General features: G+C 47.7%; 1 protein-coding gene and 1 non-coding gene across 2 annotated transcripts in view, besides 4 other annotated features; one reads left to right on the top strand and one right to left on the bottom strand.

The window, feature by feature from the left end:
- Positions 1 to 833: 833 nt before the first annotated feature.
- MIR378F (microRNA 378f) lies at positions 834 to 911 on the bottom strand. Its single transcript, NR_039615.1, has one exon. It is a non-coding gene; the product is annotated as a microRNA 378f (primary transcript).
- Positions 12891 to 12940: an enhancer, noted in NCBI's record as "active region_384". NCBI's record gives its function as "activates an Ori minimal core promoter by ATAC-STARR-seq in GM12878 lymphoblastoid cells {active_cell/tissue: GM12878}" and the evidence as "EXISTENCE:reporter gene assay evidence [ECO:0000049][PMID:35858748]".
- Positions 16293 to 16807: an enhancer, noted in NCBI's record as "NANOG-H3K27ac hESC enhancer chr1:24239664-24240178 (GRCh37/hg19 assembly coordinates)". NCBI's record gives its function as "activates a minimal SCP1, AML or CMV promoter by ChIP-STARR-seq in primed H9 embryonic stem cells {active_cell/tissue: H9 hESC(primed)}" and the evidence as "EXISTENCE:reporter gene assay evidence [ECO:0000049][PMID:30033119]".
- CNR2 (cannabinoid receptor 2) overlaps positions 16619 to 23453 on the top strand; it is a 42848-nt gene continuing 36013 nt past the window's right edge. The window contains exon 1 of the mRNA NM_001841.3: positions 16619 to 16735. The gene's annotated coding sequence lies outside the window, so the exon portion shown is untranslated. The remainder of the gene's footprint in view (positions 16736 to 23453) is intronic.
- Positions 17581 to 17750: an enhancer, noted in NCBI's record as "active region_383". NCBI's record gives its function as "activates an Ori minimal core promoter by ATAC-STARR-seq in GM12878 lymphoblastoid cells {active_cell/tissue: GM12878}" and the evidence as "EXISTENCE:reporter gene assay evidence [ECO:0000049][PMID:35858748]".
- Positions 19721 to 19770: a silencer, noted in NCBI's record as "silent region_428". NCBI's record gives its function as "represses an Ori minimal core promoter by ATAC-STARR-seq in GM12878 lymphoblastoid cells {active_cell/tissue: GM12878}" and the evidence as "EXISTENCE:reporter gene assay evidence [ECO:0000049][PMID:35858748]".

Raw genomic sequence — 23453 nt, 5'->3', positions numbered from 1 at the left:
CGAGATCGTGCCATTGCACTCCAGCCTGGGTGACAGAGTGAGACTCTATCTCAAATAAATAAATAAAGTTTCCTCCCCTCTGCACATGCACTCCTTTCATTTACAGAAGCCCTTTTCTACACTCTCACAAGCTGTCCTGAGAGTTTCACCCACCCCCGCGGGGACAGCACAGTGTTAAGAGCACAAGCTCTGGAGCAAGGCAGCCTAGTGTTGAATCCCAGCTCTGCCGTGCAGACGATGCATAACTCTGGGCAAGTTACTTAACATCTCTGGGACAGTTTCCCCATTGGGAAAATGAAGATAATATTTCCTGTTGGCCCAGCACAAGTGGCTCATGCCTGTAATCCCAGCACTTTGGGAGGCCAAGTCGGGAGGATCACTTGAGCCCAGGAGTTCAAGACCAGCCTGGGCAACATGGCAAAACCTCATCTCTACAAAAAATACAAAAATTAGCTGGGTGTGGTGGCACACGTCTGTAGTCCCAGCTACTTGGAGGCTGAGGTGGGAGGATCACTTGAGCCCAGGAGGTCTAGGCTGCAGTGAGCAGTGATCGTGCCACTGTACTCCAGGCTGGGTGACAAAGCAAGACCCTGTCTCAAATAATAATAATAATAATAATAATAATAGTAATAATATTCCTTATCTTGTTGGGTGGTTATGCAGATTAAGTGAAGTGGTCAATTTAAAGGGTTTAGTGGTCAGTTCATACAGAGCATTCAATGAATTAGCAGTTGTGACATCTCCATTTCCTAAATGAGAAGGCTGAGGTGTAACTGGTCCAACTGATTTGCCCAGAATTATTCAGCTAGTAAGCAGTAAGGGCAGGGCTTGAGCCCAAGACTTCTGGCTCCAAGTCCAGTGCTCGTTCTGTTGTTTAGCAGCCTGAAAACTATGGGAGTCCAGGACCTGACCCAGGGGCTGGGGAGGAAGAGCAGGAAGTGGGAGGAGTGGAGCTCCAGAGAGGTTTCCTAAGATAACATGGAATGGAGACTTTCTTTGAGCTGCTATATGTGAAAGCCTTCGTCTAAGGATTATTTTCAACAGCAACTCAATTTATTGGGTATCCTACTCAATGTATTAGTGTAATTTCTTTCTTTACATTGAATGTTCAACACCTTTTTTTTTTTTTTTTTGAGATGGAGTCTCACTGTGTCACCTAGGTTGGTGTGCAGTGGCGTGATCTCGGCTCACTGCAACCTCTGTCTTTCGAGTTCAAGCGATTCTCCAGCCTCAGCTTCCTGAGTAGCTGGGATTACAGGTGCACGCCACCCCACGCCCAGCTAATTTTTGTATTTTTAGTAGAGACATGGTTTCGCCATGTTGGCCAGGCTGGTCTCAATCTCCTGACCTCACGTGATCCACCTGCCTGGCCTCCCTGTTGGGATTACAGGTGTGAGCCACTGTGCCCAGCTGAATGTTCAATTTCTTTTGATTGATCCCTCTTCTGTGTTCCCAAACACACTGTACAAATTCTGCTATTGAAGAGTAATTGCCCCAAAATTTAGTGGCTTAAAGCAACAAGAATCATTTCATCATCTTTCAAGGTTTCAGAGGGTCAGGAATTCAGAAAGGGATTGCCTGTGTGGTCTGACTTGGGGTCTCTCATGTGGTTGCTGGTGGTGAATGGTGAACGGAGCTGGATGGGCATAGCTCTGCCTTCATTTACTCTCAGAGCGGGCCAGGCGCAGTGGCTCACGCCTGTAATCCCAGCACTCTGGGAGGCCGAGGCGGGCAGATCACGAGGTCAGGAGATCAAGACCATCCTGGCTAACACGGTGAAACCCCGTCTCTACTGAAAATACAAAAAACTTAGCCGGGCGTGGGTGGCGCGCGTCTGTAGTCCCAGCTACTCGGGAGGCTGAGGCAGGAGAATGGCGTGAACCCGGGAGGCGGAGCTTGCAGTGAGCCCAGATCACGCCACTGCGCTCCAGCCTGGGCAACAGAGTGAGACTCCTTCTCAAAAAAAAAAAAAAAAAATTATCACTCTGACATACTCTACTGGTTGAAATGGTCTCAAACGTCTTCTCAGGTTATCTTTGGAAAATACAACCCACCAGGTATGCTTTTGTGTCTACCTTTCCTGCCAGAACACTCATTCATGCAGTCACTCAGGTACTCATTTGTTCCCTCATCCAACATTTGTTGAGTACCTGTTGCTCTCCAAACACTAAGGCAGGCCCCTTATATAGATTATTTCATCTAATATTCAGGTCAACCCTTTGAAGTAAATGCATAATCCCCGTATTTAACACATGAGGAAGCTAAGGTTCAGAATGGTGCAGTGACTTGCCCAAAGTCATGTGAATGAGTCGAGAACCCATGATTTGAACCCATAACTATCCATTCCAGAGCCTATGCCCGTTCCTTAACCAGCCTGCCCTCCCAGGATCAGCATAACCTGGCTGCCTTCAAGGCTTTTGAGTTTGTACCTTGGCTAAGCTCTGTGCTCTTCATGCCCCCAGGACTGGTCAGAGGGGCTGGGGAAAGGAACGAGGGAAACACTGTCTGGGGCCAGTGGGAAGGAACCCCAAGTCCTGTGCCAGCTATGGAACTTCCACTTGTGGTCCCAGGGGTTCTGGCCACACAGTGCAGGGTTGGGATTCATGCCCTTATTGAGGAGACAACACCTATTCACACATGACCAACAGGGGTTATTTTGGTGCCAACTCCAGTCAGCTGAGTGTCAGCATGGAGTGCTGAGTTGAGAAAGATCATGAGCAGAATCTGGGCTGGGCAGGATTAAGGGTCTTGATCCATTAGTTATGTCTGCCACTGATACATAACCAGGTATGTTGGCACATGGGCCTTGCATCCCAATCTTACAAAACTACATCTCTTTTCATATGGGACAATACTAAGAAGCAAGCACCACAAGGGCAAGGATTTTGTCTGTTTTCATCCCCGCTATATCCCCAGTGCCTAGAACAGTGTCCTTCAGGGATTAGGATCTCAGTGAATATTTGTTGCATGAATGAGACAATTATGGTTTAGTGGTTAAATGGATTGACTCCAAGCCTGTCCCAATTCTAGGTTTGAATTCCATCTGTGCCACTTGATGGCTGGATAATATTGGATAAGTTGCTTTGTTTAACTTTTCTGAGACTCACCTACTTCATTCGTCTATTCATTTATTCATTCAACAAATATTAGTTGAGCACCTAATGGATGTTGAACACCTAATTTTGGGGATGTACCAAACACTGTTCTAGACACAGGGGACGTAGAAGTGACCAAAATAGATATAGATCCCTGCTGTTATGAAGTTTATATTTTAGGAAGGAGGAACAGAAAAATGAACAAATGAAATATACAACAGGTGTTGGCTGGGCACGGTGACTCATGCCTATAATCCCAGCACTTTGGGAGGCCAAGGCCAGCGGATCACAAGGTCAGGAGATCGAGACCATCCTGGCTAACACTGTGAAACCCTGTCTCTATTAAAAATACAAAAAGTTAGCCGGGCGTGATGGCATGCACCTGTAGTCCCAGTTACTCCAGAGGCTGAGGCAGGAGAATAGTGTGAACCCGGGAGGCGGAGCTTGCAGTGAGCCGAGATTGCGCCACTGCACTCCAGCCTGGGGGACAGAGCGAGACTGTCTCAAAAAAAAAAAAAAAAGAAAAGAAAAGAAATATACAGTAGGTGTCATGTGATGATAAATGCTTTGGAGAAATACTAAATGAGTCAGGGGGCCAGGCGCGGTGGCTCACGCTGTAATCCCAGCACTGTAATCCCAGCACTTTGGGAGGCCAAGACCGGTGGATCACCTGAGGTCAGGAGTTCGAGACCAGCCTGGCCAACATGGCAAAACCCCATCTCTACTAAAAATACAAAAATTAGTTGGGTTTGGTGTAATCCCAGCCTATAATCCCAGCTACTCGGGAGGCTGAGGCAGGAAAATCGTTTGAACCCAGGAGACGGAGGCTGCAGTAAGCCAAGATAGTGCCACTGCACTCCAGCCCGGGTGACAGAGCGAGACTCCATCTCAAATAAATAAATAAATAAATAAATAAAATTTTTAAAAATAAAATGAGTCACAGAACAGGAATTCTGGAGTGAGGTGGGAGAAGATTTGCCTCCTGGCCTATAGGACCATGTGAAGATTACACTCCGGAGTACAAAAGATGGTGAACTTGGTCTTACCCAAAACACCTAGAGCTCCTCTTACCTACTTCCTGGGGAATATTATGTTATATTTGAATATGTAACACAATATAGATATATAATCCTTACTGGTAAGTGTTGTGAGGGTTAAATAAGAAAATATTTGTGAAAAGTTTAACTCTGTGTCTGGTATACAGTGAGGGTTCAGTGAGGAGGTTTATTAGTGTTTTCCTTTCATTTATTCAGTAGACATTTACTAACTATTGACTATACACCAGAACCAGCCACCTGGGGCTAAGTGTTATGACTCAGTTCAGCCAATGCTTCACCTTCCCAACTGGACTGTAAACACGTTGAGGGCAGGAGTTATGTCTAATTCAGTCCCACATGGAAAGTCAGAGCAGGATGGTCTCTCCCATCTTCTGCTTTTGTAGGAGAAGAATCTGAGGCTCACACTTGTTCAAGGCCACATGGCAGGATGAGGCAGTGCCAGAACTAGAACTTGGTCTCTGATCTGGTCTTTCCTCCCCTGTTGCTTCCTCATCCATCCAAGGATCTCCCGAATCCCCGGTTATTAACTCTTGGCTATACCCTTTTATGGGTCCTGCAAGCTGTTGTTAAAGACAAAATTATTAGTGACACTCATTCAAGATGGTAAGGAAGCGTTTATTCAAGGGGGGGGGGCGCATCATGACAGGTATAAAGACCACTTCAATGGGGTTTTGCAGTTGGGGGGACTCAAGTCCACATACAGAATCAGCAAGTGGAAATTTATAGCCAAGGAGCAGGGTGGGGATCACCGGATGAAAAATTACTAAGAGAATACATCAGAAGTAAGGGGAGGGGGGCTTCTGGCTAAGCCAACCTAACATCCTGGCTGAAGGCAAGCCAGGATCATCAGATGTCACCTGGGAGGTGGTGGAGGATGAAGGACCCTATCAGATATTGAGGGTGATCAGACATGGAGGACAGGAGATTCTAGCTAAATCAACTTCACAGGATTCTTGCTGACATTGACCAATGCAGAGATGAACACAGAAGTCAAGGTCTCGTTGAAAAGTTCAAGGCTAGGCCGGGCACGGCGGCTCTCGCCTGTGATCCCAGCACTTTGGGAGGCCGAAGCGGGAGGATCTTCCAAGGTCAGGAGTTCGAGACCAGCCTGAGCAACATGGAGAAACCCCCTCTCTATGAAAAATACAAAATTAGTCGGGTGTGGTGGCACATACCTGTAATCCCAGCTACTCAGGAGGCTGAGGCAGGGGAATCGCTTGAACCCGGGAGGTGGAGGTTGTGATGAGCTAAGATTGTGCGCCATTGCACTCCAGCCTGGGCAACAAGATCGAAACTCCACCAAAAAAAAAGAAAGAAAGAAGAAAGAAAAGAAAAAGAAAAAAGAAAAGTTCAAGGCCTGAGTAGAGTTTGGTCAAGGAATCTTTGTCACTATTCAGCCTGTGATATAAAACCATGAAGTCGTTCAGTCAACTTTTCCTGGAAGTTCAAACCTATCCACAGCTTCTCCAGCCAACTGGAGTCGGGAGTGCCCAGCCAGTTGGATGCTTTGGCATCTGCTCAGAGTGGAAACTGCAGCTGCAGACTTTGCTGCGGTTGTTCAGTCGCCAGTGACCCAGCCAGTCCAGCGGCATGAAACGCCTCCTTCTGACCCATTTGTTTTAACCCCTGTGTTGGGGCCCTGGACTCTAACTTCTCTTTGTACAGAAAACAGCTCTTCCTGCCACCCCTGGCCCCTTTGGGCTCTGTTTTGTCCTTAGCCCTAACTCTCTTTGCCCTCCCTCCACGTCTCTGAACCCTTGCAAGGATGGGAGTGGGAAGTGGAAGACAGGTTTTTCCCTGTCCCTCTTCCTCCAAGAGGTTGCACCCCCTAATGGGCTACCTTCTCATGTCCCCTGTCCTTTGTGTCCTGCTGATCACTCCAACTCAGCACCTGGGCCCCAGAATGCATCTTATGTCTTTTTGACTCATTCTCCAAGCACAGTTCTAGACACATAAACAGACAAATAAATACTTGCTGGCTAATTGACAGGTACAGCAATTTAAGGAAACAAAACAAAAACTGAACGAGAAATGGGACTTGTGACAAGCTGGGAAGACTTCCTGGAGGAAGAAGGACTTATGTTGGGCCTGGAAGAAGGAGTCAAGACCAAATTGATAAGCAAGAGTCAGAGGGCATTGCAGGCTAAGAGAATCAAAGGTGTAGAGGTGAAAATATGTGGGCAGATTAGAATTCCAGACCTAGAGAAGAGGCTCTCTAATAAGTATTTTCAGCTTGTGATCCATTGGTGAGTAATAAAAATTATTTCTTTGGCTACAAATGGCATAGTTAAATAAAATAAAATTAATTAGAACTGAATAAAATAAAAAGGAAAATATCAGAGTGTATCCCGTATAGTAAGAATTATTGGTTTCACGAAACTGAAGTTGCAATTTTACATATAGTATGTATTATATGTGTTTCTGTTTTTGTTTTTTGTTTTTATGTTGTTGTTTGTTTGTTTGTTTTTGAGATGGAGTCTTGCTCTGTCATCCAGGCTGGAGTGCAGTGGTGTGATCTCAGCTCATAGCAACCTCCACCTCCCAGTTTCAAGCAATTCTCCTGCCTCAGCCTTCCGAGTAGCTGGCACTACAGGCATGCACCACCACACCCGGCTAATTTTTGTATTTTTAGTAGAGACAGGGTTTCTCCATGTTGGCTAGGCTGGTCTTGAAATCCTGACTTCTGGTGATCCTCCCACCTCGGCCTCCCCAAGTGCTGGGATTACAGGTGTGAGCCACTGCTCCCGGCCTTATATGTGTATTGAGTCATGATATAAAATGAATCTTTCATGGATTGCAGTAAGAAAAAAAAAAGTTTTAACTTCTTACCAAACCCAGCCTGTTCATTTCACAGATGACGGGGCTGAGGCTTATAGAGAGTTAGAATGGGGCTGGGATTGGACACTGGGGTTTCTGACTCCCAGTGTCCTGTCTCCCCACACCATCCCACCTTCCAGAGGTAAAGGAACAGATCAGACCCACCTCCCAGACTCTATGGCTTCCATTATTTTTGCCATGCCAGGGACACTCAGCAATTATTCATTCAACAAATACTCTCTGAGTATTTGTCCAATCATGGGTTGGACACTTGTGCCAGGTACCGGGATAGTATGGAATTTATGATGGGTGTGTGGGATTTTACTGCCTGACATGGGTTTTCTCCTGGGTTAACTTTTATATTTTTTGTTCAGATTGGAGATGTGAAAGGAAAATTATCCCGACACTTGTTAAAATGGTGAAGATAACTTTAAGACTATTGCAGTAGGGGTGTTGCAACGGATTGCGGGGAATCAGACGCAACTCCAAATACAACACAGATAAGTGGGAATTTATAGCCAAGGAGCTCAGTGACTGGGGGGGTCTGTGGGTGGAAATTTACTATCAAAAGACTAAATTACAACAAATTGGCCAAGTGTGGTGGCTCACGCCTGGTGTGTAATCCCAGCATTTTGGGAGGCCGAGGCGAGCAGATCACCTGAGGTCAGGAGTTTGAGACCAGGCTGGCCAACACGGTAAAACCCGTCTCTACTAAAAATACAAAATTAGCTGGGAGTGGTGGCGCATGCCTGTAATCCCAGCTACTTGTGGGGCTGAAGCAGGAGAATCGCCTGAGTCCAGGAGGCGGAGGTTGCAGTGAGCCGAGATTGTGCCACTGCACTCCAGCCTGGGCAACTGAAACACTCCATCTCAAAATAAATAAATAAATAAAATTACAACAAATTTAGTTTAAAGATCTTAATTGGCATTTATTTGTGATTCTAGAATAGAGCAACACCTCATTCTGTAAAATGTAATAAGTGTTCCCATGAGCCAAGCAGAAGGTTTTAGTTTTATAGACAGAAAAGGGGTGGGGAAAGCAGAAACAGAGAACAAAAGGGGGATTCATTTCCTAGTAAAGGTTAAAGCAGAGGGAACATGGGCCAGGTGTGGTGGCTCATATCTGTCATCCTAGTGCATTGGGAGACTGGGATGGGAGGATCGCTTGAGGCCAGGAGTTCGAGACCAGCCTGGCCAACATGGTAAGACCTCATCTCTATAAAAAATAAAAAATAAAAATTTAAAGGTTTTTTTTTTTTTTTTTTTTTTTTGACAGAGTCTTGCTCTACCACCAGGCTAGAGTGCAGTGGCGCGATCTCAGCTCACTACAACCTCTGCCTCCCAGGTTCAAGCGATTCTCCTGCCTCAGCCTCCCGAGTAGCTGGGATTACAGGCACACGCCAACACACCCAGCTAATTTTTGTACTTTTAGTAGAGACGGGGTTTCACCATGTTGCCAGGCTGGTCTCAATCTCCTGACCCGTGATCTGCCCTCCTCGGCCTCCCAAAGTGCTGGGATTATAAGCGTGAGCCACCACACCCGGCCTTAAAGTTTCTAAAAAGCAGGCCAGGCGCAGTGACTCATGCCTGTTATCCCAGCACTTTGGGAGGCTGAGGCAGGCCTATTGCTTGAGGTCAGGAGTTCGAGACCAGCCTGGCCAACATGGTGAAACGCTGTCTCTACTAAAAATACAAAAAAAAAAAAAAAAAATTAGCCAGACACGGTGGTGCATGCCTACAGTCCCAGCTACTCAAGAGGCTGAGGCAGGAGAATCGCTTGCAAAAGGTGGAGGTTGCAGTGAACTGAGATCATGCCACTGCACTCCAGCTGAGTAACAGAGCAAGGCTTCGTTTCAAAAAAAAGTTTTTAAAAAGCAGAGAGCACTTTGTTATCATGCCTGCCAAAATTGGCTTGTTTGGAGGTTTGGTGTTTATCTGGCTCTCTCCTGGTTTCTCAGAAGGTCAGATAAACAACTTAGTTTTGGCTTGGTAGCATGGGCTTCGGCACGAGGAACTCCATTTCGGTCTGCTCTATTGGGCCTCGTGCAGGAAGTTCAGTTCAAATCAATGTCCTCCTATAAATTTTAACATTACTAAGAGGAGACGTCAAGAATATGGAGATTCTTGTTAAACAGACCTAACAAGATTCTTGCTAAAGGCAGGCCCAGGACATACACATCAAAGGTGGGCGATGAAGAACTTTATCAGATATCCAGGGTAGGGGGATGACTTAGCAGGATTTTTTGCTAGGACTGGGCTGGGCCAACCAAAGACAGGACAGAGCCAAGTTCAAGTTCTAATTGAAAAGACAGAGGAACCTAACTAAAGTTTGCTCAAAAAGAGTGTTTGTCAGTGACAGCATCTATATTTATCTTATTACCTTGTTTATACCAACCCCTGATATTTATATGGTGTTTTCCATTTTTTCTTTTTCTTTTCTTTTTTTTTTTTTTTTGCATGTAATTGCTAGGTGGTATTACTAGATGGAAAAACTGAAATTCAAGAAAATTAAGTCACACAGCTATTCAGTGGCAAACTGGGAACAGAGGCCCAGGTCCCTCTGGTTCAGAGCCCAGACTCTCAATCCTTGTGCTATGTTGCTTCTCATGGAAGCTGGAAAATCCAAATATAATCTTCTGCTACCAAAGCTGCCTGCCACAGTCCTCTTTTGGAGAGGGGAACGTTATCAGCCTGTGCTTGTACTGCTGGCTGAGCCCTATGGTGAGAGTCGAGACAATCACTAAATGCTCTCAGGTCCCGCAGCCTGGTAGGCTCAGATCTGCCTTGGCATCTGCCCACATGGCTATTTATAGAATTGACTGTTTACTGCTGGGGCTGGGCAGGGGCTGGGCTGGGGCTGCGCAGGAAGGCAAAGGGCAGCTCTAAAGAAATAGTCACGTGCTGGGCGCTGGCATTTTTTCAGACACTGGAAGCCCCAAGTTTGGCTCCAAACTCTGGTTCTATTAATCAACCCTCTAATTCATCTCTTCCACTGTGTTCTCTCCTCTGCCCCCATGGCCCAGCCTGGGTTCCTCAATACCTCTGGCCTGGAATTGTGGCAGCCCAGAAAGAAACACATCTAAACGTTAACAGCATCTACCTCCCTGTGGTGAGATCAAGAAGCATTTTTGTTTTCTTCCTTCTATTTTTAAAAAGTTTTCCAGCCGGGCGCGGTGGCTCACGCCTGTAATCCCAGCACTTTGGGAGGCCGAGGTGGGCGGATCACGAGGCCAGGAGATCGAGACCATCCTGGCTAACACGGTGAAACCTCGTCTCTACTAAAAATACAAAAAATTAGCCGGGTGTGGTGGCGGGCGCCTGTAGTCCCAGCTACTCGGGAGACTGAGGCAGGAGAATGGCGTGAACCCGGGAGGTGGAGCTTGCAGTGAGAGATCGCGCCACTGCACTCCAGCCTGGGCGACAGAGCGAGACTCCGTCTTAAAAAATAAATAAATAAATAAATAAATAAATAAGTTTTCCATACCATTGATGGGCATTTAGGTTAGGGGGAGAAAAAAAAAATAGAAAGAAGTTTTCCAAAATGTCCAAAATAAGAATGTTGGGTTTTTCAGGGAGACCTTTGGTGGGTTTATTGCCTTAAGCAGCCCCCTGCCGTCTATGACGCACTGTCATGGATTCTGTCCAAGGTCTCTCTTGTGGAATTGGTTCATCAAGGGATTGAATTTTTATTTACTTATTTATTTATTTTGACGGAGTCTTGCTCTGTCGCCAGGCTGGAGTGCAGTGACGCGATCTCAGTTCACTGCAGCCTCTGCCTCCTGGGTTCAAGCAATTCTCCTGCCTCAACCTCCTAAGTAGCTGAGACTACAGGTGCGTGCCACCACGCCTGGCTAATTTTTGTATTTTTAGTAGAGACAAGGTTTCACCATGTTGACCAGGATGGTCTCAATTTCTTGGCCTTGTGAACTGCCCGCCTCAGCCTCCCAAAGTCTGGGATTACAGGCGTGAGCCACGGCACCTGGCTGGACTGAATTTCTTTTATCCCGTTTCCTCCCATTTCCCGCAGCACCAAAAGTAACTCTCCTCTGGGGTACCTCTGGGTGGATAAGTATCCTTAACTTTAAATGTGTCCTTGTGAAATATGTTATACTCTTGTATATATAGACGTTTTCTAATTTACAAAATGGTCACATGTTAGAAGGCTTACTTTGCTTCCTTTTTGACGTGGCACATTGTTGGTTGCTTCTGTTTACTTTCTTTCTTTTCTTTTCTTTCTTTTTTTCTTTTTTTCCAAGACGGAGTTTCGCTCTATTGCCCAGGCTGGAGCGAAGTGGCACGATCTCGGCTCACCGCAACCTCTGCCCCACGGGTTCAAGCAATTCTCCTGCCTCAGCCTCTTGAGTACCTGGGATTATAGGTGCCCGCCACCATGCCTGGCTAATTTTTGTACTTTTATTAGAGACAGGGTTTCACCATGTTGGCCAGGCTGGTCTTGAACTCCTGGCCTCAACTGATCTGCCTGCCTCGGCCTCCCAAAGTGCTGGGATTACAGGTGTGAGCCACCGCACCCGGCCTGCTTCTGTTTACTTTCATAATTGGGGGAAAAAAGGCCTGACAAATGGGCAAAATTTGGGTCTGATGGATTTCCTTTTTTTTTTTTTTGAGACAGAGTCTTGCTCTGTCACCAAGGCTGGAGTGCAGTGGCACAATCTCGGCTCACTGCAACCTCTGCTTCCCAGGTTCAAGAGATTCTCCTGCCTCAGCCTCCTGAGTAGCTGGGATTACAGGCGCCCACCACCACACCTGACTAATTTTTCTATCTTTTAGTAGAGACAGGTTTCATTATGTTGGCCGGGCTGGTCTTGAACTCCTGACCTCAAGTGATCTGCCAGCCTTGGCCTCCCAAAGTGTTGGGATTACAGGCATGAGCCACCCCACCTCACTTGGCCCGGTGGATTATATTCTTGAAAATGATGGAAAGTAGATTTTATTTTATTTATTTATTTATTTTTGAGACAGAGTCTCGCTCTGTCGCCCAGGCTGGAGTGCAGTGGCACAATCTTGGCTCACCGCAAGCTCCGCCTCCCAGGTTCCTGCCATTCTCCTGCCACAGCCTCCCGAGTAGCTGGGACTACAGGCGCCCACCACCAAGCCCGGCTAATTTTTGTATTTTTTAGTAGAGACAGGGTTTCACCATGTTAGCCAGGATGGTCTCGATCTCCTGACCTCGTGATCCGCCCGCCTCGGCCTCCCAGAGTGCTGGGATTACAGGCATAAACCACCGTGCCCGGCGGATGGAGAGTAGATTTTAAGTGTTCTCACCACAAAAATAAGTATATGAGGTAATGCATATGCTAATTGGTTCAATTTAGCCATTCTACAATGTATATGTATATTACAAAACATCACATTGTACATGTTAAATGTATACAATTTTTGACAATTCTAAAAAATTAATTAATTTTAAAAGGAATACTGTATAGCAGGGTTTAAAAGGCAAAACATAACAACAGTTTTGGTGAAAATATGTTATCCCATATGATTGCAGACACATTTTGTTTTATTTTCCCAAGTTAATTCAGGGACCAACATTTACACTGAAAACTGAATAATCTTTTTTTTTTTTCTTTTCCTCCATCGCCCAAGCTGGAGTGCAGTGGTGCAGATCATGGCTCATTGCAGCCTTGACCTCCTGGGCTCACATGACCCTCCTGCCTCAGCCTCCTGAGTAGCTGTGAGTACAGGCATACATCACCATGCCCAGCTAATTTTTTATTTTTTGTAGAGACAGGGTCTCGCTATGTTGCCTGGGCTGGTCTCGAACTCCTGGGCTCAAGCAATCCTTCCTTCCTCCTCGGTCTCCCACAGGCCTGGGATTACGGACATGAGCCACCATGCCTGGCTTTGAACCATCTTAGGGTCAGTTGGTTCAGACAGTGCAAAGACTGCTTCCCTGTGGCCTGACAGGAAAAGTATACCTCTCGGGAATGTTCCTCCTCAGATCAGACCCTCAATATGACAGCACTCGGCCCCAGCATGGGGTAGATCCATCCTGTAGATGGCGGCATCTCACAGTACAAGGGCTGCTGAGGCCAGCTCTACCCAAGGAGCTGAGAAAACCGCCTCCTAAACCCTCACCTACAATTGCTCCTGGCCCTCCCAGGGCAAAAAGAGAACAGACTTCCCCTGTGGGCCCCATCAGCCCTGCCCAGGGGACTGAGAGATCATGGAGCTTCCTTATTGATTCTCTTGTCCAGTGCTGCCCATAGGGAGTCCAAGGACCGACAGCATCTGCTTCCCCTGGGAATTAGTTAGAAATGCAGATTCTTGGGCCCCATCCCAGAATACTGAATCAGAATCTCTGGGAGTGGGGCCCAGCAATCTGTGTTTTGGGGTTTTGTTTTTCAAGTCAAGGTTCTCTCTCTGTCACCCAGCCTGGAGTGCAGTAGCATAATCAGAGCTCACTATAACCTCAAACTCCTGAGTTCAGGCAAGACCTCCTCCCGCCTCAGCCTCCCAGAATGCTGGGATTACGGGCATGAGCCTCCTCACCCGGCCCCAATCTGTGTTTTAACAGGCCCTGTGGGTGACTTCCATGCACTCAGGCGTTTCAGGGGCACCTGTTATCTCCAACTTCCTCATTTTAGGAATGGAGAAATTGAGAACAGATACAGGAAGCAACTTGTTGGTCAGCCAGGCAATGGCAGAGACCACACAAAAACTCCGCTTCCCAGCGTTCCTTCCACTTGAACTTTCAGTAACTTCCTTTCTTTCTTCCTTCGTTCATTCATTCCTTCACTCATTCATGCCTTCCACCTCCAATTACATGCTTTGGGCTGCAATGGAGGACCAGGCGTTTGGGGACAGCCTCACCCTTCTTCCCCATGTGGGGCTTTCTCAAGGCCAGAGGTCTAGGATTCAGGATTGTGGAAGCATCTGCTAGATCTCTTCCAGCTCACCCCTGGGTCTCCAATTCCAGCCCAGATAGGAGTCTGATGTAGGCTGCAGGCGGGCCCCACTCCCCAGCTCCTTCTGGTCTTCTTTTCCTCTTTCTTGGCACCTGGGGCTCTCTGTCCCATTCCTCACTGCCAATGTCTTGCTCTTGGGAGAGATGCAAGGGCTGGAGGCTGTTACTGTTCCATTTCCCAAAGGGATGAATGATCAAATTAAAGGCCCTTCCCAGCAATGGCTTTGCGCTGAAGGAGCCAGGACTAGGTCCAGACCAGGGTTCGCAAGTTAGCATCTTGAGCTGGATAATTCCTTGCTGTAGGGCTGTCCTGTGCATTGCAGAATGGTTAGCAGCATTCCTGGCCTCTCCCTAGCAGATGTCAGTAGAATTCCTCCACCAGGTTGTGACAACCAAAAATGTCTCCAGATATTGCCAAGTGTCCCCTCTGGGTGGTGTTGCCAGATAAGACAGAGAATGCCTGGTTACATTCTTTTTTTTCTTTTTCTTTTTTCTTTTTTTTTTTTTTTTGAGACAGAGTCTCACTCTGGAGCCCAAGCTGGAGTGCAGTAAGGCGATCTCGGCTCCCTGCAACCTCCGCCTCTGTGGCTCAAGCATTTCTCATGCCTCAGCCTCCTGAGTAGCTGGGACTACAACTACGCACCACCACACCCAGCTAATTTTTTGTATTTTAGTAGAGATGAGGTTTCACCATGTTGCCCAGGGTGGTCTTGAACTCTTGATCTCAGGCAGTCCATCTGCCTCTGCCTCCCAAAGTGCTGGGATAACAGGCGTGAGCCACCACGCTAGGCTGAGCATTCTAATCGCACATAAGCAACAAGTAATTTTTAGTGCCTGAATGTCTCAACTATTGTTGCATTACCTCACATACTTATTTTTGTGGTGAGAACACTTAAAATCTACTCTCCATCATCTTCAAGAATATAATTCATTGGGCCAGGTGGGGTGGCTCATGCCTGTAACATTTTTTACTTGAAGAATCTTGCAACTCTACCTCAGGGGCAAAATCTTTCTTCATTGGCCCAGATCAGGGTCTGGGGTGTGGGGAGCAGTTAGTGAGAGGATCTGATGAGATAATCATAGGCCATGAGTTTACAAGGGCAAAAACTTTGCCATAATCATCTCTGTATCCTTAGAATATAATGGCGTCTCATTAAATATTTTATCTGAGAGTGGGTGTGAGGACACTTGGAACTATATCAGATACCATACCTGAGTACATCCAGCCCAGGACTGGACATTAGGGACATACTCCCTAATAAATATAAACTGAAGATAATGTTTAGTTTGACTCACATAGCATTTTTTAAAGGTGTGACTTTGGGCTTTACATTCTAAAATTGGCAACTGGCTGAGCATGGTGGCTCATGCCTGTAATCCCAACACTTTTGGAGACTGAGGCGGGAGGATTTGCTTGAGCCCAGGAGTTCAAAACCAAGCTAGGCAACATAGTGAGACCCCCATCTATACAAAAAAATTAAAAAAAAAAAATAGCCAGGTGTGGTGGCACATGCCTGTTCTGCCGGCTACCTGGAAGGCTGAGATGGGAGGATCACTGGAACCCAGGAATTTGAGGCTGCAGTGAACTATGATCGTGCCGCTGTACTCCAGCCTGGGCAACAGAGCGAGACCCTGCCTCAAAAAATTAAAATAAAATAAAATAAAGTAAAATAAAATAAACAGGAAGTGGCTGGGCGTGGTGACTCACCCTGTAATCCTAGCACTTTAGGAGGCCAAGGTGGGTGGATCACTTGAGGTCAGGAGTTCAAGACCAGCATGGTCAACATGGCAAAACCCTGTCTCTACTAAAACTACAAATTAGCTGGAGGTGGTTGTGTGCACCTGTAGTCCCAGCTACTCAGGAGGCTGAGGCAGGAGAGTTGCTTGAACCCAGGAGGCAGAGGTTGCAGTGAACCGAGATTGCGCCATTGCACTCCAGCCTGGGCAATAGAGCGAGACTTGGTCTCAAAACAAAAACAAACAAACAAAAAACAAAACACACACACACACACACACACAGGAAGCTATCACATAAGTCAAGATTTCTGGTATCTCTTGAAAAATACAGCACAACTTCCAAATGCTTGGAATATCTGACAATTTGCCTATACTCCCAAGCAGAAAAGCTTGGCTGGAACTAAGAGGTACCTGCCCCTCTCTACTGGCCCAGATCAGGGTCTGGGGTGTGGGGCAGATACCTCTCAGCTGGGCCAGTAGAGAGGGTCAGGTACCTCTCAGCTCCAGCCAAGCTTTTCCACTTGGGTCCTGTGTTCCCCCTATTACCCACAGTCCCTACCACTCCCTATTGCCCCACACCAGGATCCATCACCCATTATGTTAATCTGCCTGTAGGCATTTGCATTTCAAAGCTCTGGCCTAGTGGTGAAGAGGCATTGGAATGGCATGTCCTTTTAGGTGATCTACTGTAATGTTGGTGCATTATCCCCATTTTACAGATAAAGAAACTTGCCTTTGGGGAAGTTAAGTGAATCAACATTTTAACGAGGCTGTATTAGAACCCAAGTCCCTTGACTCCAGGGTCTAGGCCCATGCCCCACCCTGGCCAGAGTTCGTTGTAAGAGATAACTCAACCGCAGGGGCAAGAGCATTGTGGCACCAGGGACCTGGAGGGGAAGTGGTAACAGGCACGGAAGGCCAGACCTCCTCACACTCACTCATCTGTGAGAAAGTACAAAAGCAAGAGAAAGCTGGCTTGGGGTGGCACTCAACAGGTGCTCTGAGTGGCACCCACGGCCAGGTCCTGGGAGAGGACAGAAAACAACTGGGACTCCTCAGCCCCCGGCAGCTCCCAGTGCCCAGCCACCCACAACACAACCGTGAGTAGCTTTTTTTGTTGTTTATTTTAGGCTTCTTCCTCATTCCCCAACACCTGTATTCTTTTTTGTTTGTTTGTTTGTTTTTGAGACGGAGTTTTGCTCTGTTGACCAGGCTAAAGTACAGTGGCACAATCTCGGCTCAGTGCAGCCTCACAGGTTCAAGCGATTCTCCTGCCTCAGCCTCCCGTGTAGTTGGGATTACAGGTGTGCACTACTGCGTCTGGCTAATTTTTGTATTTTTAGTAGAGACAGGGTTTCACCATGTTGGCCAGGCTGGTCTCGAACTCCCGACTTCAGGTGATCTGCCCACCTTGGCCTCCCAAAGTGCTGGGATTACAGGCATGAGCCACTGCACCTGGCCAAAACCTGTATTCTTACCTTATCCCTTCCCTCCAGGGACACAAGAAGCCAGGTGGGCCTGTCTGGGGCAGGGGATAGATGTCATTTCAGGACACCTGGGGTTGTGGAGGACCAGTCGCAGGAAAGTTCAGGGCTGGCATCCCCCTCCTAGGACCAAGAATCAGGACTTTGGCTTTCATTTCATTACAGAGACAAGAATCACACACACAGAGATGGCCTTACTGTGTGCCAGGCGCTGCCCTAAGAGCCTTTAGTGGTTGGATTTATTTAATCCTCACAACAGCCGTATGCAGTAGGAGCTATCACTGTTGTCCACTTGATAGGTGGGGGCTAGGTGACCCACCTGAAATCATGCGGGCATTGAATGAGAGCATTGGCTTGAGCCTAGGCACTCCGGCTTCGCGGCCCACCCTTCAGCCACCAGGCTATCCTGCCTTACGAGGTGTGGACTGCAACAGTAGATGGGGGCCAGGAAATGACAGGGGCTGGCAGAGGCCTTTGAGATGACCAGGTGAGTCCTGCGCTCTCATTTTATAGATGGGGAGACCACAAGGTAGTGTTAGGGGCACACTGGACTCAGGAGGCCAGGGGTCTGCTTTGGTGTAAGTTCCACTCAGCGGAGGGAAGAGCAGTATTTTCCAGTGTGCCCTGGGGTCAGCGTCCAGGTCTGAATCCCAGCTCTGCCACTGGTAGCTCGATGGCCTAATGCAAATCACTCCATTTCTTTCCTGCTCAGCTTCCTCTTCTGAGAAACATGGGCCTGAGAAGGTCACTCACAGGCTTGTTGCGAGTCAACTGTCTGATGCGGGCACAGGGCGGGCAGCAGCACAGGGCTCGGGAATGGCTGTGGTGGAGAGTTTGATCTTCACCCCATCTGCTCTTGCTGTGGATCTGAGATGAGGATAAAATGAGGCCTGGCTGCTTTTCCCTGGAATGAGTGGCAAGTAGACACGTTGGCAGCATGAAAACCAGGATGGAGGCTGGGGAGAAGTTCAGGGAGAGCTCAGGAGGTGGAGTCCCAATAATCCTGGCCCCAGCTCTGTAACCACCTTGTGGCTTACCAGAGTGACCCCCTAACCTGCGCTGGGCAGGTGAAGCATATCCTTTACCCTTTGGCCGGCTAAGGCCAGGATAAGGCAGTGAAGACGGGAAAATGGCAGCCTGGCTCAGCCAAGCAGAGCCCTCCAGCGCCAGCCCCCTCTCTTCCCACCTCATTTTACAGTACCAGTCACTCTTACTGCACACCCTCGGGTGTGCATAAATTGATCTTTTCTTTATTCAGTTGAAGTCACATTCAATAGGACCCTGAGCCTCATCCTACTGGGCTAGGAGGAAATTTAATCTCCAAGTGCACTGAGCTTCCCTCACTCCCATCCCCACCCATGCACATTGACCCAGAGGACACACAGAACATAAGCGTGAGGGAGGCTCCTGGGTCCTCCTACGATGGATGCCCATTGCCCAAATGGACTTGATTGTCTGAAGTCCAGCCTTGCCCACTTCCCTGGCATGCCTGGAGTCCAGATTCTTTGTAAGACCTGAAACCACTGTGTCTCATTTTGACATCCAGGATATATCACCCAGTGACTTCCCCCAGAGGTCCTGCCATCTTCCCAGAAAGCAAATTCTAGGTGCCCAAGACCTCGGTCCCCTCCCAGCCAAGGACAATCTCTCCTCTCCCCTTGGCTGTGGATGGCAGATGGACACTCTTCTCTCCCCACCCCCCACCCACGTGACCTAACCTTCTCACTGCGCTCAGGTTCTCAGGAAAGGACAGGAAGAAGGGTTGTCTTCAAATAGCTTCTGCTTCCTACTCTCACCCCTGAAAAAAGTCCCCGAGCCACGAGACACAAAGGGCACTCTGAAAAGAGACAGGCAGCCCTATCTTACAGATGAGAAAAACCAAGACTCAGCAGCAGTGTTGACTTGCTCAGTGTCACACAGCCAAGGAATAGCGGAGCCAGTGTGAGCAGAGAGTCCTGCGCTGTGGGTTCAGAGCTTGTGCTATCAATCACATGGAATCACATGGAAACCCAAGTCTCCCTCATCAATTACTCAGGCAACCTGGGGCAAGTTACATCACCTTTCTGAACCTCAGTTTCTTCAACTCTAAAAATGACGCTATCATAGCATTCCCAACCTGCCTCAAAGGGGCTCTTGTTTTTTGTTTTTTGTTTTTTTGTTTTGTTTTCTTTTCTTTTCTTTCTTTTTTTTTTTTTTTTTTTTTTTTTGAGACAGCGTTTTGCTCTTGTTGCCCAGGCTGGAGTATAATGGCGTAATCTCAGCTCATTGCAACCTCTGCCTCCTGGGTTCAAGCGATTCTCCTGCCTCAGCCTCCCAAGTAGCTGGGATGACAGGCATGCACCACCACGCCCGGCTAATTTTGTATTTTTAGTAGGGATGGGGTTTCTGCATGTTGGCCAGGCTGGTCTCGAGCTCCCGATCTCAGGTGATCCGCTCTTGTTTTTTTCTTAAGCGAAGATTGATGAAGCATTTACTACACATTTGAGCTCTGTGACCGTTCCTCATTAAGTCCTCACCACAGCCTAGGAGGGGGCTGCTATCACTAACCACATTTGCAAGGTGAGAAACTGAAGCTCACACAAGCTTAAGACTTATCCAAGGGGCCGGGCATGGTGGCTCATACCTGTAAGCTTGGCACTTTGGGAGGCCCAGGCAGGAGGATAGCTTGAGCTCAGCACTTCAAGACCAGTCTAGGAAACATAGTGAGACCCTATCTCTACAAAAAAAAAAAAAAAAAAATTAAAAATTAGCCAGGCATGGTGGCACATGCCTGTGGTCCCAGCTACTCAGGGGGCTGAGGTGGAAGGATTGTTTAAGCCTGGGAGATTGAGGCTGCAGTGAGCTATTATTGCCTGGGTAACTGAGCAAGATACTGTTTCAAAAAAAAAAAAAAGAAGGAGAGAGACTTGTCCACAGTCCCATAACTGGTGGTAATGGCAAAGCTGAGACTCAAGTCCAGGTCAATCTGGATCCAGAACCAAGCCATATTGTGGTGGGAATCAAAATAGGAGAACGGGAGTGGAAATGCCTCTAGGTATGGAGATGCAGGGCAGGCTCGGGGACTCATGATCAGGGTTGTCTTTACTGTGTCGCTCGCCAGGCTGCGTTTCAGATGCCATCACATGGACAACCCGAGAACCTGCGCTGGGGAGGAAATTGGAGGGATATCATATGAATATGGCCGGCTTCTCTCCTCCCACCCCAAACTGAGCAGTCCAATCCAGTCTTGTGAGGTGTCTACTCTGTGCCAAGACCCTGAGGCTCTAGCCCTTGGCCCAGGTGACTTCCTGTTTCCATGATGATCTCTGACAGACCTTCCCTGACTGTGCTTAGGCATTATCTTATGTAATCCTCACCTCGGTCCTGTAAAGGCAATTCTCTTTCTCTCCCCAAGCTATAAATGAGGACACTGAAGTCTCGGGAGAGGGCAGAGTGGGAACCCACGCACAGCCAAGGCTCTCGGTCCCCAGCTATGCTGCAGGGACCACCAGAAGAGTAAGATCAGGTCTCAGCCTTCTTCCAGCAGAACCCAGAACAGTGTAAAACTGTTCTCTTTTCCCTCCATCTCCTGGGGAGAGAAAGGATGTACTCAGTCCTCACGCCATGCAGCAAAGACCTCAAATGCCAAGGAGAGAAAATGACAGACAAGGCCAGATTAATGGGGGAGGAACTGCATAGTGGAGTTAGGGCCAAGCAGGGAGGGAAGGATTCCCCAGCAGGCGAGGGAGTGAAGGCTGCTGGGGCCCCATCCAGTCGGGGAGGATGTGGGTGAGCCCATGAGCAGAGGGGACTTCGTGGTTCGGTGTCCGGTGAGCTTCACGGCTTCTCCTCCCCTCCCCCACCTGCTTCCACTGCCCAGAGAGGAGGTCTCTGATCTCCTGCTCATACAGTGAGTCAAAGGCAGCTTTTCCCACTCCCTCACCCCCACCACCCCACCTGTCTCTCAGAGGCTCCCTTGCCTCCCTAGAGGTTGAGGCAACCCCTAAGTTCCTCTTTGAGAGCCACAGCTGCGTTCACAGTGTTGCCTCAGCCCAAATTCATTGAGTTCGTCCTCTGTGTCTCTCCCTGGGTCTGTTTGGGTCCTGGAAAATCTGATGGAGCTGGAAGCTGGGGAATAGAGCCCACTGAGAGCAAGGAAGGAGCCAGAGGGTGCTTCACTGACCTTCTGTAGCCCTCCCTCCCTTCCAATGGGCCCATTTGACAGATGAAGCCACTAAGGCTGAGACACAACAGGCAGAGACAGGAGTCAAACCCAAGTCTGTCTTCCCACTACTTTCTACCAGCTTTTCCCACTAGGGAGGGAGATGTTCCAGAAGGTTCACATCATTAGAAGGTCTTGATGCCTGTTTCCATTTTTTTAAAAATTAGTGAATAATTATTGTAATAGTTAAAAGATTTTTTCTCAATGTGAGATCTTCCTAGGATAAGTGGAAGAATCAAATCTGGCAGGTATAGCCAGGCATCGCTTGAGCCCAGGAATTCAAGGCTGCAGTGAGCCGAGATTGTGCTACTGCACTCTAGCCTGGGTGACAGAGCAAGATCCCTATCTCAAAAATAAAATAAATATTTAAAAAGCGATAGTTGGCCAGGCACGGTGGCTCATGCCTGTAATCCCAGCACTTTGGGAGGCCCAGGTGGGCAGATCATGAGGTCAGGATATCGAGACCATGCTGGCCAACATGGTGAAACCCCGTCTCTACTAAAAATACAAAAATTAGCCGGGCATAGTGGCATGTGCCTGTAATCCCAGCTACTCAGGAGGCTGAGGCAGGAGAATTGCTTGAACCAGAGAGCCGGAGGTTGCAGTGAGCCAAGATCACGCCACTGCAGCCTGGTAACAGAGGGAGACTCCATCTCAAAAAAAAAAAAAAAAAAAAAAAGCAGTAGTTAGTGGTGATAGAACAAACTAGCTCATGACTCACAACCAGGCAATTAATCATTCAGCTACAGCTTTGGCTGATATATGGCTTTACATCGTTTTTGCTCTTAATCTGATATCATTTAATTTATACCCTTACTGAGCCAATGATTAAAGACAGCATAAGAAACTGATATCAAAAATACAAGGAAGCTGGGTACGGTAGCTCACGCCTGTAATCTCAGAACTTTGGGAGGCTGAGGTGGGTGGATCACTTGAGGCCAGGAGTTTGAGACCAGCCTGGCCAACATGGTGAAACCTCATCTCTACTTAAAAAATACAAAAATTAGCCAGGTGTGGTGGCACACGCCTGTAATCCCAGCTACTTGGGAGTCTGAGGCTGGAGAACTGCTTGAACCCGGGCGGCAGAGGTTGCAGTGAGCCGAGATCACGCCACTGCACTTCAGCCCGGGCAACAAAGCAAGACTCCACCTCAAAAAAAAGAAAAGAAAATACAAGGAAATGATGGTGTTAACTCCTCTGCAGATTTGCTTCAAGATTCTTCTTTTTTCTCTTGTTTTTTTTTTTTTTTTTTGAGACAAGGTCTCCCTCTGTCACCAGGCTGGAGCATAGTGGCGCGATCTCGGCTCACTGCAACCTCCACGTCCCAACCTCCACCTCCCAGGTTCAAGCGATTATCCTGCCTCAGCCTCCCATGTAGCTGGGATTACAGGTGCATGCCACACGCCCGGCTAATTTTTTTGTATTTTTAGTAGAGATAGGGTTTCACCATGTTGGCCAGGCTGGTCCCGAATTCCTGACCTCAGGTGATCCGCCCACCTTGCTCTCCTAAAGTGCTGGGATTACAGGAGTGTGCCACCATGCCCGGCCTGCTTCAAGATTCATAAATTACATTTATCTGATCAACTTTCTTATATGGCATATTAGAGAAATCCTACTACTTCACAACATTTCAAAGGTTGGTAAGAAGAGAGAAAGATGTATTCTGTCTTTTCCTGTACTGGGTATAAAAGAGATCTACACCTGCAAGGCATATACAGAGAGGCATGCAAATAGGGGCCTGAGACATATTTTTTCTTTTTTTTTTTTTTGACACAGAGTCTCACTTTGTCACCCAGGCTGGAGTGCAGTGGTGCAATCATGGCTCACTGCAGCCTTGACCTCCTAGATTCAAGTCATCCTCTCATCTGAGTCTGTCAAGTAGCTGAGACTACAGGCACATGCCACCACTCCCAGCTAAATGAAACCTATTTTATCTTATCATATAGCAAACATAAAATTACTTTTAAGAAGTATGAATTGGCCGGGTGCGGTGGCTCACGCCTGTAATCCCAGCACTTTGGGAAGTGCTGAAGCTCAAGGTGGATCACTTGAGCTCAGGAGTTCAAGACCAACGTGGGCAACGTGGCAAAACTCCATCTCTAAAAAAAAAAAAAGAAAGAAAAAAAAGAAAGA

The sequence above is a fragment of the Homo sapiens genome, chromosome 1 (assembly GCF_000001405.40).
Source record: "Homo sapiens chromosome 1, GRCh38.p14 Primary Assembly".
Taxonomy (NCBI): domain Eukaryota; kingdom Metazoa; phylum Chordata; class Mammalia; order Primates; family Hominidae; genus Homo; species Homo sapiens.
Note: the sequence above shows the minus strand (reverse complement) of the source record. Positions and strands in the feature narration are given on the sequence as shown.